The sequence below is a fragment of the Homo sapiens genome, chromosome 16 (genome assembly GCF_000001405.40).
Source record: "Homo sapiens chromosome 16, GRCh38.p14 Primary Assembly".
Classification (NCBI taxonomy): domain Eukaryota; kingdom Metazoa; phylum Chordata; class Mammalia; order Primates; family Hominidae; genus Homo; species Homo sapiens.
In genome coordinates this window covers 81347334-81361835 of record NC_000016.10, presented here as the reverse complement: position 1 = coordinate 81361835, position 14502 = coordinate 81347334, and the positions used below count along the sequence as shown (strand labels likewise).

Genomic DNA, 14502 nt, shown 5'->3' with positions numbered 1-14502 from the left:
ATAGTCTCAACTACTCAGGAGGCTGAAATGGGAGGATCGCTTGAGCCCAGGAGTGTGAAGCTGAAGTGGGCTGTGATCATGCCATTGTACTCCAGCCTGGGCAACGAAGTGAGATCTTGTTTCAAAAATAACAACAATAATAATCTTCTTAGAAGAGGAGAAGCCAACAAGATAACAAGGCAAAACTGAAGGGAAAATTAGGACCTACAGAGGTTATCAAGCATGAAAACCATTTTACACTGAGGGCATTTCTAATCTAGGAAAATTTAAACCTTTTGTCCTGGGGATGAAAAAGACAGAAGTTTAAGCTCCAGGTCCACAGAAAACGTGGCTTCTGGCAGGAGATCCTCTCCAAAGTTCTACACTGTCAGGATGAAGGCCAACCAGAATTCGTACTCAGATTTAAATCTCCTTGCTATCTGGGAAATCATGAGCCTTGAACTTAACTTACAGTTAATACCAAATTAGTAGTGTTTTCAGTCAACTGGCAGAAACAAATGCAAAACTTCTGTAGAAGGACCTTAATCTAAGCCTTAGATTCTAACATCCCAGGACATCTAAGGCAGAAAGTTATTGCTACAAATAATTTTTTTTTGATTTTTTTTGTTTTTTAAAGACAGTCTTGCTCTGTCGCCCAGGCTGGAGGGCAGTGGTGCAATCACAGATCACTGCAACTTCTGCCTCCTGGGTTCAAGCGATTCTCCTGCATCGCCCTCCTGAATATCTGGGATTACAGGCACATGCCACCACATACCCAGCTACTTTTTGTACTTTTAGTAGAGATGGGGTTTCACCATGTTGGCCAGTTGATTTCAAACTCCTGACCTCAAATGATCCACCCGCCTCAGCCTCCAAAAGTGCTGGGATTATAGGTGTGAGCCACTGCGCCCGGCTGCTACAAATAATGTTTAATAAATGAGCAGCATGCAGCCACAGATATCAGACATACCAAAAATTAGACTCTAAGAAAAGACCAGCAGAAGCAGATCATAGGAAGTAGTCTTGCAAAGATTTCAAATATTATAGTAACCAGAAAGATGATTTTTTTCAAGTTGGGTGATGAAGAATAAAGTCTAAAATTTATTTAAAAAACAAAGATAATTTAAACAAATGCTTATCATGTTTAAAAAATAAAAATTAACTGGAAGATAACTCCAGGTAACAGGGAACTATAGAAATAAGAGAGGATTTGAAGGTAATGGTGGATTAAGTTATTCTCCTGTAAAAAGACAAGAATTTGTAGAAATTAAAAAAAAAAAATCAATGGATAAATGTAATAGCAGATTAATCAGAGTTAAGGAGAAAAGAAGATAAATCAAAAGATAATAATCAAGAAAACAGCACAGTGAGACAAAAAGATGGAAAATAATAAGAAAATTTTAAATACACACCAGAGAAGAGATTTTTTAGACTTGCCACTGACTTCACAACAATGGAAGGCAGAAGTCAGTGGAATGACTTCAATGTGCTGAAAAATGATAAATACCAAAGCTGAAATGCTATACTCAGCAAAAATATCCTTTACGAATGAAGACAAAATAATGACATTTGCAGGCAATCAAATCTGAGAGTTGTCCACCAAAAGACCCATATTAAAGGAAATTCAAAAGGATGAACTTCAGAGAGAAGGGAGATGATCCTAGGTGGAAAGTCTGAGGAGTTAAGAAGGAAGAACGAAGAAAGTGGCAAATCTAAATGAACACTATCTACCTACCTACCTGCCTGTCTATCAATCATCTATCTACCTATCTGTCTGTCCATCCATCTATCCATCCATCCATCCATCCATCCATCCATCCATCCATCCATCCATCCATCCAACATATATCAAAAAAAGACATATTGTGTATATAGTAGCTACCCCTTATCTGAAGTTTTGGTTTCTGTGGTTTTATCACCCATGGTCAACTGCAGTCCGAAAATAGGTGAGTTCAGTAAAGTAAGATATTTTGAGAGAGACCACATTCACATAACTATTACAGTATATTGTTATCGTCGTTTTATTATCAGTTATTGTCGTTAATCTTTTACTGTGCTGAACTTAAACTTTATCATGGGTATGGATGTATAGTAAAAACACACAGTATGTACAGGGTTCAGCACTATCTGTGGTCTCAGACAACCACTCGGGGGTCTTGGAATGCATCCCTCATTGATAAGGGGGATCTACTGTACATATTTATTAGTGATAATGCATTTTAAAACTGTAAGAGTATGGAAAATGGAAAATGAAGAAAAACTCTCCTGAAGAGAACACAGGTACTGACTAACTTTGGACTTTGCTAACTTAATACAGGCTGTAATTTCTAAGGTAATCTTCCTAAAGGACTATTAACAAGAATGTAAGTCCCAAACTGGTAGAGAAGAAAAATTGAATGACAAAAAAACAGTCAAAATCAATTTTTAAAAAGGCAAAAAAAAAAAAAAAAACAATGCAGCCTGGACAAACGGAAGGACCTCCTCAATCACTCACTTCTGTTTCCATCAATTCCACTGTACACAGTCGCTCCTTCCATTGCTGGGTTTCTGAAACACCAATCCCTCTAGCAAACTTTCAAATATTAGTCATATAGGAGCCTTTGTGACAGACGTGTATGTGTGAAAATTAGGAATATGTGTATATATTTTGGGGGAAATGTAAGGGAGCTAATTCTGAGAAGATGCAACAGGGAAACTAGACCTACATCCTGCAGGCTATACTACTCTGTCCAGCTCTTCACTACTGACAATAACTAATAATTTTGGGACTCATAAAATGACTCCACTTCTATACTATGGTAGAGCCTTGGCCATTTGTATGATGCACTGTGGTACAGTATAGCTTTAAAAATATTATAGCCTGGGCAACATTGCAAGATCCCATCTCTAAAAAGAAAAATAAAATAAAAAATAAAATTTTAAAGATAATGTTGCTGGGCAAGCAAACACAATTAAATAAGGACTGCAGGAGGGCTGCTGACCACAATTAGGATGACATGAGATGACACTTATCAGGTGGACAAGGGAGCAGGACCACGGCGAAAAGACAGGCAGCCAGCAAAGGCAATGCCTCAATGGCTATCTTTTCTATCAGCTCCTTAAGGGAGAGCTTTGGATAAAGTAGAGCAGTTTTCAAACTTGTAAAGGTCAAGTAAAGCATTTTCCATACTAAATAACTTTAAGCCATTGCCTATATAAGTAGCATTTCCTAAAGTCTCATAACTTCTCTTTTTTTTTCTTTTTTTTTTGAGACAGGGTCTCACTCTGTCACCCAGGCTGGAATGCAGTGGTGTGATCTTGGCTCACAGCAGTCTCGATCTCCTGGGCTCAAGAGATTCTCCCACCTCAGCCTCCCAAGTAGCTGGGACCACAAGTGCATGCCACTATGCCTGGCTAATTTTTTTGATTTTTAGTAAAGACAGTTTCTCTCCTACATTGTCCAGGCTGGTCTTGAACTCCTAGGCTCCTCTCACTTTAGCCTCCTAAACTGCGGGGATTACAGGTGTGAGCCACCACACTCGGCCTTATATAACATATTTTATATAATTACATATTGTAATTCTAAGCTGCATGAATTTCAAAGATGGGACTACCATGGTGCAAAGAAACGCTGTGTTCCAGGTGTGGCCCTACAGCTACTTAGTGGTAAGCATCACTGAAGTTTGCTCTCCTGACATTAAGTCATCAAGTAACTGCTTCTCCAGTAGTTCTTAAAAGCAGCTATGTGCTGAAGATACAGAGATAATAAGGACTGACAGAAAATACGGTTTTCCTAACCACGGTCTCAGAAGCTAGAACTACACTAAAAATGTCATGTAGAGATAATAAAATTGTATCTTTAAAAGGCTCTGAGTCATTCTGTAAAACCTTGAGATTACACATTACTTGATCTGCTGTTTAAGGAAAATTTGCCACAGAACGGTACCTGCTGAGAGAACTCCATGGTTAATTCTCGGCATGCTTAAAGGGGCCAGTTCGATCCAAAGCTGCCTGTTAGGGTCATAGAGAGGGCACATGCATCGCATCGCTGCTGTGGGTTTCCGTGAACTAAGGAAGTAAATAAGTGATCAGTAGTTAATGTGCTTCATACAGTTCTTTTTATAAGTAGCCATCACTAGTTTTAGTTTACTAAAGAATATTTAAAACATTTTTTAAAAACCCTTGTGGAAGTCAGTGTGACGATTCCTCAGGGATCTAGAACTAGGAATGCCATTTGACCCAGCCATCCCATTACTGGGTATATACCCAAAGGACTATAAATCATGCTGCTATAAAGACACATGCACACGTATGTTTATTGCGGCACTATTCACAATAGCAAAGACTTGGAACCAACCCAAATGTCCAACATTGATAGACTGGATTAAGAAAATGTAGCACATATACACCATGGAATACTATGCAGCCATAAAAAAGGATGAGTTCATGTCCTTTGTAGGGACATGGATGAAATTGGAAATCATCATTCTCAGTAAACTATCGCAAGAACAAAAAACCAAACACCGCATATTCTCACTCATAGGTGGGAACTGAACAATGAGAACACATGGACACAGGAAGGGGAACATCACACTCTGGGGACTGTTGCGGGGTGGAGGGAGAGGGGAGGGATAGCTTTAGGAAATATATCTAATGCTAAATGATGAGTTAATGGGTGCAGCACACCAGCATGGCACATGTATACATATGTAACTAACCTGCACATTGTGCACATGTACCCTAAAACTTAAAGTATAAAAAAAAAAATCAAATGTAATTATGTTTTAGATACTGAAAAGCATTATGAATTCTTGTTTACATGGAACTACCTCTTCCCATACACCACTTTTCAAACAAGTCCCACCTCATACTTACACTCTCTCTTCTCCACCAACAGTCACGATGCACTCAGAGTAGCCCCGGGGTTTGAAGTTGGCCAGCATCGCCTCCCCTTGCTGCGGCTGGCTGAGCGGTATATTGCTACACTCTTTGACAATTTCTCGTACTAATGGTTCATTCAGCATCTGTTCCCGTAAATAACTGGAGTCCAACCCTGAAACCCACAGAGCTGACATAACATCCTTCATGTGGACCTGCAGAAGAGGGAAGAAAGATGGGGCGAAAACAATGGAAAATGCAACACATCATTTTTAGAATCTACATTTTCCACCTCATGGAAAACAAACTGTTAACACTCAGGTTATTACCAGGCAAGTGAGACACACTCGTGCTGCTTGAATATCTTCTCCTGGCCCTAACTGTCTACTTCCCAGAGTCTTGATAAGTAAAAGTTTAATTTTTAAAAATCATCAGTTTATTTGAGGTATCACTGTAAAAGTTTCAAGCAGCTTCCTTTACACCTTAAAGGATTCCCATTTCAATAGGAAAAGACAGGAAAAGAACCAGCTATAATTTGCTTTATTTCACACATTTGGATGTGCCATGAGTTAAATCATGTTTATACAAATATTATATACAGTAATAGCTCAATACAATATGGTAAACTTAGACATCAACATTAATAATACAAGAAAAATATACAAAAGCCAAAGTTTAAAAAAAAACCTGAGTACTATATAATCATTTTTGCAGTAATTACTGTTCAAAAATATCTAAGACGACTAATATGAATTTACACTTTTACTGCTCAATCACTAAATTTGAACTGACGAAAGTATTTTATAAATGTAAAATAAAACTGTGAGTTTTAAAAATCAACTGTCTTTACAGCATGAAGTTTAAACTGACCAAAGGACAAAGAACTGCCTCGTTTTCCCAGCAACCAGCCAACCTTAAGCATCTCCCTTGCTTTAAGGCAAGAAGAGGGCAGGACGGAAGCTGGCAAGGAGCAGCATGTCCCACTGTGGTCTTGGTGAGTGGGAGCACATAGGAAATTTTTCTCATTTTTCTATCTCCTTTACCAATTTCCCCAACTAACATGGAAAGCAGAACACTACCTGTCCTTACCTGTCCCAATTAAAACCAATACTACAAATATGGTTTCTAAACATGCATACTTATGGGCTTACAGAATTCAAAAAATTATAAGATAATCATCAAAATTTAACAGTCCAGTTTTAACTTACAAGAACAATTAACAGTAAAATTATACATTGTGAGATCCACTCTCTAACACCTAATATATTTCTTATTTTGAAAACAGTAATTGGAGCTAGTGTCTTATTTATAATAATCAGACTTAAAAATGAAGTCCTGGCTGGGCATGGTGGTTCACACTTGTAATCCCAGCACTTTGGGAAGCTAGAGTGGGAGGATTGCTTGAGCACAGGAGTTTGAGACCAGCCTGGGCAGCACAGCGAGACCCTGTCTCTACAAAAATCAAACAATTAGCTAGGCATGGTGGCACACGCCTGTGGTCCTAGCTACTCGGAGGCTGAGGTGGGAAGATCACTTCAGCCAGGAAGGTTGGGACTGCAGTGAGCTATGATCGTGCCACTCTGGCTACTGCCCTTCAGCCTGGGAGACAGACTGAGACTCTCTGCCCCCTCAAAACCCTCAAGTCCTGTGATTTTGCTCCTTCCTCCAAGGTATTCACAATTTGGATCTAGAGGCTGATATTCTTTAAGACCTTCACTCCCAGAACCTTCCCTCTTGAAACTGCACTGCCACACAAACTCCAGAGCCTGCCTGCTTTCTCCTGCGTGGTGTCAATCACACCTGAAGCTCCTCAGGCCCATGCCCCTCCACCCCTGCCATCGATCCACGTGCCACCCCCCTGCCTGCTGCAGGCACCTGAGGCCTGGCAGAGGTTAGCCTAGTGATATAGTAGGTCAGGATGCTGAGAGCAAGGGTGGGGATACTGCGTTTCTATAATCTCCAGCTTAAGCTTGAAATGCATTTTCCCATTAAAAACAACATACAAAGGATATTACGCTCCTTACAAGGGCTAATATTTTCACTGATATATTGTGTGGCATGGGCTTTTGCAGACTGGTCTGAAAAACCAACTGCTTTCATGATATAGGGGAACATGTTTTACAGGTATCTTTTAGATTGCTGCATCGTAAGTCTTTCATGATGAAGAAGAAAAATAAAACAACTAAAATTTGAATTAAAAAGAAATAAAAAGGCAAATTTGACCATGTTATAAATGACAGGTACCTTTCTTATTTCTGTATCATGTGCTATCCATCGAATTACTGCTTCAAAGACATATCTTTCATTGCCAACGTTTAACTTCTCAAGAGAAATCACTTCTTTAAGCTTTTGAGGACTCAGCTCTAAGAATTCTTCCGTGCTGCTGACGTCTCGGAAATGAGTCTCCAGGTATTCTGTGGCAAGGTAATGAACGTGATGGAGGCAGTAATGTAGTGCAAAGTCACGGATACCAATACAGTTCTCAGCAGCAATGCAGCCTTCCAAAAACTCACAGCACAGGGTTTTAAGGTCCGTCAGTAGCAGCAGGTCAGCTGCCTGAACAACATCTTGGATTGTATCTTCATTTAGCCTGATCTAAAAAAGTAGCATAATTATCTTATATTTGAATGTGTACATTTAAAACCCAAACCACTAACCTATTAATTGGGGCCACATGAAATTTCCATTTATTTTAGATCAAAGATAATCGAATATTGGCAATTTCATATGGTTTAACCCAGCATTTTTTTTTTTTTTTCCAAGAGTTGGAAGGCACCAACATAAGCAAATGTGTGCTTGGTTAACTTTTCCCAGCTCTGCCCTTGCTGTACCAATGTCAACCACCAATAACCCTTTTAGGGTGAACTGTCCATGTTGTTCACTTCTGTAATTCAGAGAAAAACCTTAATGACTCAAATGCTTGGGAAATGGAAAGTTCTACATTCTATGGTAAAGTCAACATGATTAAGTACCAGCATCAGAACTGATGAAAATCTTGCCTCCCCACCTATGAAGTTCACTCTTCCGCTAAATGGCATGCCAACCTGAATGCTAACCCCTTGAAGGGAGAGGGGTTTCCAGTGTTTCAGAAGCCTCATTCCGCATCCCAAAACACTGTACGCAGTGCAATTTGGTACACAGACAGATACACTTAGGTCTCAAAACTACTTTTTGGAATAAATCCCTAATACAAGGGTGTTTTTTTTTTCTCATTATGAACATCTACTTTTCCTTAATTTTCTTCAATTTTCTGACTAATGCTTCTTCCTCCACTGACTTCACAGTGCTCCAAAGCATCAGGAAAGAAACAGTTCTCTAAAATATTGCCACAGTCCTAAGTGGACGACCCCAAAGCATGGGCACTTCACCCACATTCGCAAATGCAAGGGAGACTTCATGAGGAGTATAGCAAGAAACATTTTTACATTTTACACTTTTTGTACCACAGATTTTTAAAAAAGTATAATTGCCAATCATCTTAGAAACTGAGCAACAAAAATGTGGAAAGTAGTATGGTGAGTAAGCCACAAGTAGGGGAAAATGTTCCATTTATATGACATTATATTTAGCCACAAGACAGCAGGCAGCTGTAGACTCTTCAAATATAGGCACGTGAAAAAAACACTCAACTGCATTTCAATAAAACAAAACTGCCAATTCAGGAGTTTGTTATAACTTACATTCCAACTATCGTTTTTTTTTTTTTTTGAGACGGAGTCTCGCTCTGTCGCCCACGCTGGAGTGCAGTGGCGCAATCTCGGCTCACTGCAGGCTCCGCCCCCTGGGGTTCACGCCATTCTCCTGCCTCAGCCTCCCGAGTAGCCGGGACTACAGGCGCCCGCCACCTCGCCCGGCTAATTTTTTGTATTTTTAGTAGAGACGGGGTTTCACCGTGTTAGCCAGGATGGTCTCGATCTCCTGACCTCGTGATCCACCCGCCTCGGCCTCCCAAAGTGCTGGGATTACAGGCGTGAGCCACCGCGCCCGGCCCCAACTATCGTTTTAAATTTAAATTGGGAACAAATCACAGAACTCAATCTGTAAATAATGTTTCAACTTTCAAATCCAAGCCTGAACATGAATAGGCTCTTACTGGCTTATAACTCATTATACTAATAACTGCTGCTGGATTGACTTTACAAGGTGGAGGAGAGGTTGGTCTTAGCCCTGGTTATGTGATGCTACAGAGCATCTCTGGGCTGTCCCCAGATTAACTTAAATTCATTTACTTTTAACAATCATACACGTACACACCCACCCACTAGTGCTGAGAGAAGAGAGAAAGCATGAAATCAAACCAAAACCTTCAAAAAGGATGAGAATCACTGCGTTTAACTCTGGACAGAATGAATATATTTAGATAAAGAAAGCAATACATTCAGAATACTTAGAAAATATGTAAGACAAACAGCCCCTACAGAAAGGAAAACAAGAGGGATAAAGAAAGAATAAAGGAGAGAGTAGGGAACAAGATCTCAGAAAGAATAAAGATGAAATGCATTCTCACACAGCCAAAGGTAAGATGCACTGACCTCTTCCTTCTGTTAAAAAAACAAAACAAAAAACTAGCCCTGATTCACACGGAAGATTTTTCTTGAGTCCTCATGCTTTGCTTGAAATCACGTCATGGGGAATGGGTAGTCGGAGGAGGGCAAAGGAAAAGAAAGAAGTCTGATCGTTTATCATTCTCCTCCCTGGGTATCACAAAGTCCCCAGAGGTTCAAGTGGACATGGAGAGGGAAGAGAGAATAAGGGTGGGGCAGGGATGTGGGTACTACTGAGGCAACAGGACCAGGGCATCGTGAATAAGGTGCTTGTCATGTCTGTCAGTCATCTTTCTCTGGGAATGATCTACAAGGAACTCTCTATTTCTACCAAATAATCCACAACGCCCCAGGAAGTTCCTATTTCCATGCTATGGAGACAAAACAAGTTTTGTATCCCCAGTCATATGGATACAAAGCAAGACTGGAATCGGGATTCCAAAGCAAAAACCAAAAACACAGCAGTCAGGGCAGCATCCCATGTTCTTTAATATCTCATATGAGAAGGTGGAGCTCAGAATGGTAGCAACAAACTGAGATTTGAGTCTAAGATCTTACTTCCTCTGCTTCTCTAGGAGCACAGCCATGGAAGAACACACATGGGGTGCCATTACCAGTAGGAAATGTCAGTCAATGCACACAGTGACAGAAGATGAAGATGACAGTGCTACTTTGTCATATAATGGATGAAAGGAGACCCTCACCCTGAGCTTGAGAAGCCTCTACTTAGGTCTTCCTTCCTTTGTTTCTCATCATACCTGCCCACTGAAGATGTAATCCAGGATCTCTCTCATAACCATTACCGATATCCCTTCAAGTTCAATCTTATAAGTTGATCCATCATCTTTTGGAGGATTATAGTTTAACTTTGTCCTAAGAAAGGGAAAAAAATGTAAAATTTCTATGAAAGAACAGAAATAGCTATAAATATTTATGTACTCAAAACTCTATAACGTATAAGATACTTATCAGTATATGAATCCCCACCTAGAAAATTTAGTTCGTTAACTTTAGGTCTATGTATTTCTATAACTTTCAACTACAAAACATTGGTCCCAGGATCCCAAATGCTACTTCTTAAAAAACAAAAACAAAACAGATGACCAAAGAACTAAGATCCACATGACCATGAATCTGTATTTCACCTTGGAAATCCCAGTCCCTTTAGGCTTATTTTCTAATGTATTGAATTCTCTAATTAATCTTCAATAATGTAACAAGGACTCCACAAACCTGCCATCCAAAACAAAAGCTAAGACCTTGTCAATAGCCCGCTTCTAACCAGATGGTCTTCCCCACCAATCCATTCCTCTGCTTCCACCATCTGAAGTAACCATTATCCCAAATCCTATGCTCACTTTTTCCTTGCTTTATTACTGCATCCGTGAAATATATATTTTAAATTTTAACTTGTTTTATAATTAGTCATCCATTTTGCATTATTGTTTTATATAAATGACTTAAAATTTTATAGAGGTGTGCATATCACACTGGTTCTTTAGTTCTTTCTGCTGTGCAATATCCCATTTTCCTGTTGATGGGCATCTGGGGTTGTCTCCAGGTTTTCGATATTGCAAACTGTGATGCTATGACTATTATTGCATATGACTCTTTTGTGCTATGTTAAAGAATTTTTCGGCTGGGTGCAGTGGCTCACGCCTGTAATCCCAACACTTTGGGAGGCCGAGGTGGGTAGCTCACTTGAGGCCAGGAGTTCGAGGCCAGCCTGGCCAACATGGTGAAACCCCATCTCTACTAAAAATGCAAACATCGACTGGGAGTGGTGGTGGCATACGCCTGCAATCCCAGCAGCTCAGGAGGCTGAGGCACAAAAATAGCTCGAACCTGGGAGATGGAGGTTGCAGTAAGCTGAGATAATGCCACTGCACTCCAGCCTAGGTGACAGAGCGAGACTCTGCCTCAAAAAAAAAAAAAAATTAAGTAAGTAAATAAATAAATAAACAAAAATTTCCCTTGGGTCTACTCCTGGGAGTAGAATTATGCTACTTATTCTCCATAGTAGGTGGCGCTGTTTACAGCCTCATATACTATGTATGTGTAAGGGCATCTGCGGATTCATAAACTCTACAACATTTGAATCTGTCACACTTCTTAAGTTTTGTCAATTGAATGAGTGAAATATGGTATCTCACTGTGGTTATCATCTGCATTCTCTTACTACCCAGGTGCTGAACATCTCTTTGTATGTTTGTAGCCACGTTTCCCCTTTTGCAAAACGTTTGTTCATGTTTCTTGTTCATTTTTCACTAACTGTCCTCACATTGCGGTGTAGGAGTTCTTTACATATTTGTGATACTAATCATTTAACAGACATGAACTTTTTAAAAGGGGCCTTTTAAAAAACTTAAAAAAAAAAGACTTCTTAAACAAACTGATGAAGAATTTGAAGAACAATTTTTCGGTCAATGCTTTTTGTTTTAAGAACTTATATCTAGATATTCCTGTTATTTTTTACTAAGAAAATTTAAGGTTTAAAAAAAAATTCAAGTGAAATTTAAAAATAGCTTTGAAACATGCTCTTGGTATGAATTATAACTCTGTTAAATCTCAAGATTGACACTGTGTTACCTGCTACCTAACAACCATGTTTTCTAAGAAAAGAAAAGCACACCTTCAAATACTGTAATCCAAATAGTGAGTTACAGGGAGAACTTCTTAGAAACAAATATTTAAACTCATTATTTGCATTCAGACTTCTACAATAAAGTCAACAAAGGATCAGACTTTTGGTAGACTGAATACAAACAGAACAGGAAATAATATTAACAAAATTTCTTTTATTTTTGTTTTTGAGACAGGGTCTCACTCTGTCACCCAGTCTGGAGTGCAGTGGCGCAATCATGGCTCACTACAACCTCCTCCTCCTGGGTTCAAGTGATTCTCCTGCCTCAGCCCCCCAAGTAGCCGGAACTACAGGCTCACACCACCACACCCAGCTAATTTTTGTACTTTTTGTAGAGACGGGGTTTCACCATCTTGCCCGGGCTGGTTTCGAACTCCTAAACTGATCTGCCCACCTCAGCCTCCCAAAGTGCTGCGATTATAGGCATGAGCCACCGCACCCAGCCAATGAAATTTCATATGCTAGAAAACAGACAAGGGTAACTGACTTGGAGTATCTGAGGAAACTTAATCCTAATTTAGCAGTAAGCAAAGCCGAGACTCAACCTGAATTGGACTGAAGACTTCCCAAAGGCTCCGGGAACTGGTAGTACAGGGTAGGTGAGGACGGGGTCGGGGTGGGGCAGGGGGTGAAAGATAAGCTAAAAACAGAACTGTTAACAAAGTCTTAGGAAATAGTTGAATTTCCGGATTCTCCTTCCATGTGGATACACATCTTCCCTGTAGAGCTCAATAAGACTCTCCCTAGCTCCAGTGGAAGACAAATGACTTATATTTTGAAGAGTATACAACTGAGAGTCTCTGGACAGGGGAGCACCAGGCACATTTGAGGGTAGGTGTATTGTAACTGAGAGGGTTAACAGAATGTTTACATACTGAATGCTGGACCATTAGTCTTTTTCTCTCAACTCTGCTCCTAAAATACTGAAAGCCAGAACATATCTTCCAAGCAAGAAACAAAGACTCTTCTGGAGGACTTGATCAGCCCAAGGGTACAGACCCAAGGGCACAGACATCAATCTGCCCTAAGAAAATGACCCAGTTTGATCACACAACAGCAAAACCTGTGTTCAACAAGTCTAACCTATAGGGCTCTGAGCTTCCTGCACATTTTGAAGCTGTACTTCTAAAACTTTCTCATGTCACATCATACACAGAAAACGTAGTATTACTCTGGGCTAAACAGAGGCGGCCTGTAGGCTCATGGCTGGACAGGGCCCCCAGCATTTGGAGATGCTGCTCAGCTACTCTGAAGACTGACACCATCAGTATCTTCACATACTTGCAACATGTTTTTTTGGCACATTGGTTAAGAAACTGTTTTAGAGCACTGCTCTTAAAATCAAGCAAACAGGACTCATTAGATATTTAACAAAGATAAAAGACAGGAACAAAACTGATAAGAAAAAAGGTAACTTAAAGGAAGTAAAGATTGTGCTAAAATGAAAAGTTCAAGGAAAAAAGAAAAATTCATCGTAATCTTCCCAGAGGGAAAAGACAGGATATTGTGTACATAAAACAAGAGTACGATGACATAAAAAGAAACATTCATAAGCCAGCAAAAAATGGTAATGATTGAAAAAAAAATTTTTTTAAATGTAGGGTCAAGATAAAAAGTTGAGGAAATCTCCTAGAAAAGAGAACAAAGAGACAAAGGCAGAAAATATGACAGATGGCTGAGCACATGGCTCATGCCTATAACCCCAGCACTTTGGAAGGACTGCTTGAGCCCAGGTGTTCAAGACCAGACTGGGCAACACAGCGACACCCCACCTCTATTTTTTTTAAAATTTATTAAATAATTTTTTAAAAAAGAAAATGAGAGATAAGTTAAGAAAACTGGAAGATCAGTCCAGAAGGTTCAACACCTGAAAAAAAGTAATGTCCCCCCAACCAAAAAAGATAAGACTATTAAGGAAGTACTCTCAGTAACGGATGAAAATAGACCCACTCCAGAGCACATCATCATAATAATTCAGGATACGAGAAATAAAGAAAAAAGTCTTACAAGCTTTCAGAAAGAAAAATAGGCTATATGGAAAGGATCAAGAATCAGAATGGCTTCATACTTGTAAATGAAAGTTAAATAATAAAGAAGAAATTACTTTAAAATTCTGAAAGAAAATTATTTCAGACCTAGATTTTTATAACCAGCCAAACTATCAATCAAGTGGCAGGGGGGAACAAAGACATTTTCAGCTATATGAAGTCACAAAACAATTTACTTCCCATGCAACCTTTCTCGGGATGGTGTTAGAAAATGTGCCCCAAAAAAACAAAGGAATATATCAAGAAAGTGGAAGATTCTGGATACTAACAAGATGCAATCCAAACAGGAAGGAAGTGAAAGGGATGCACAATAATGGTGAAGAATGATCCTGGAATGACAGCTATGTACCAGCAGAAGGAAGCCAGTCCATTCTGGTGACAGTAGAAGGCCCTTGTACATCTTTAACATCAAATATATAATGTGTATGAC

General features: G+C 39.5%; 1 protein-coding gene across 2 annotated transcripts in view; it reads right to left on the bottom strand.

Moving 5' to 3' along the window:
• The window catches only part of GAN (gigaxonin), a 75848-nt gene that overhangs the window by 28974 nt on the left and 32372 nt on the right, over positions 1-14502 (bottom strand). The window contains exons 2-5 of one of the 2 annotated variants that reach the window (NM_022041.4): positions 10139-10253; positions 7081-7431; positions 4834-5051; positions 3905-4026 (exon numbers count right to left, since the gene is read on the bottom strand). In NM_022041.4, coding sequence (NP_071324.1) covers positions 3905-4026; positions 4834-5051; positions 7081-7431; positions 10139-10253 — 806 coding nt within the window. The remainder of the gene's footprint in view (positions 1-3904; positions 4027-4833; positions 5052-7080; positions 7432-10138; positions 10254-14502) is intronic. The other variant, NM_001377486.1, reaches the window with a different exon arrangement.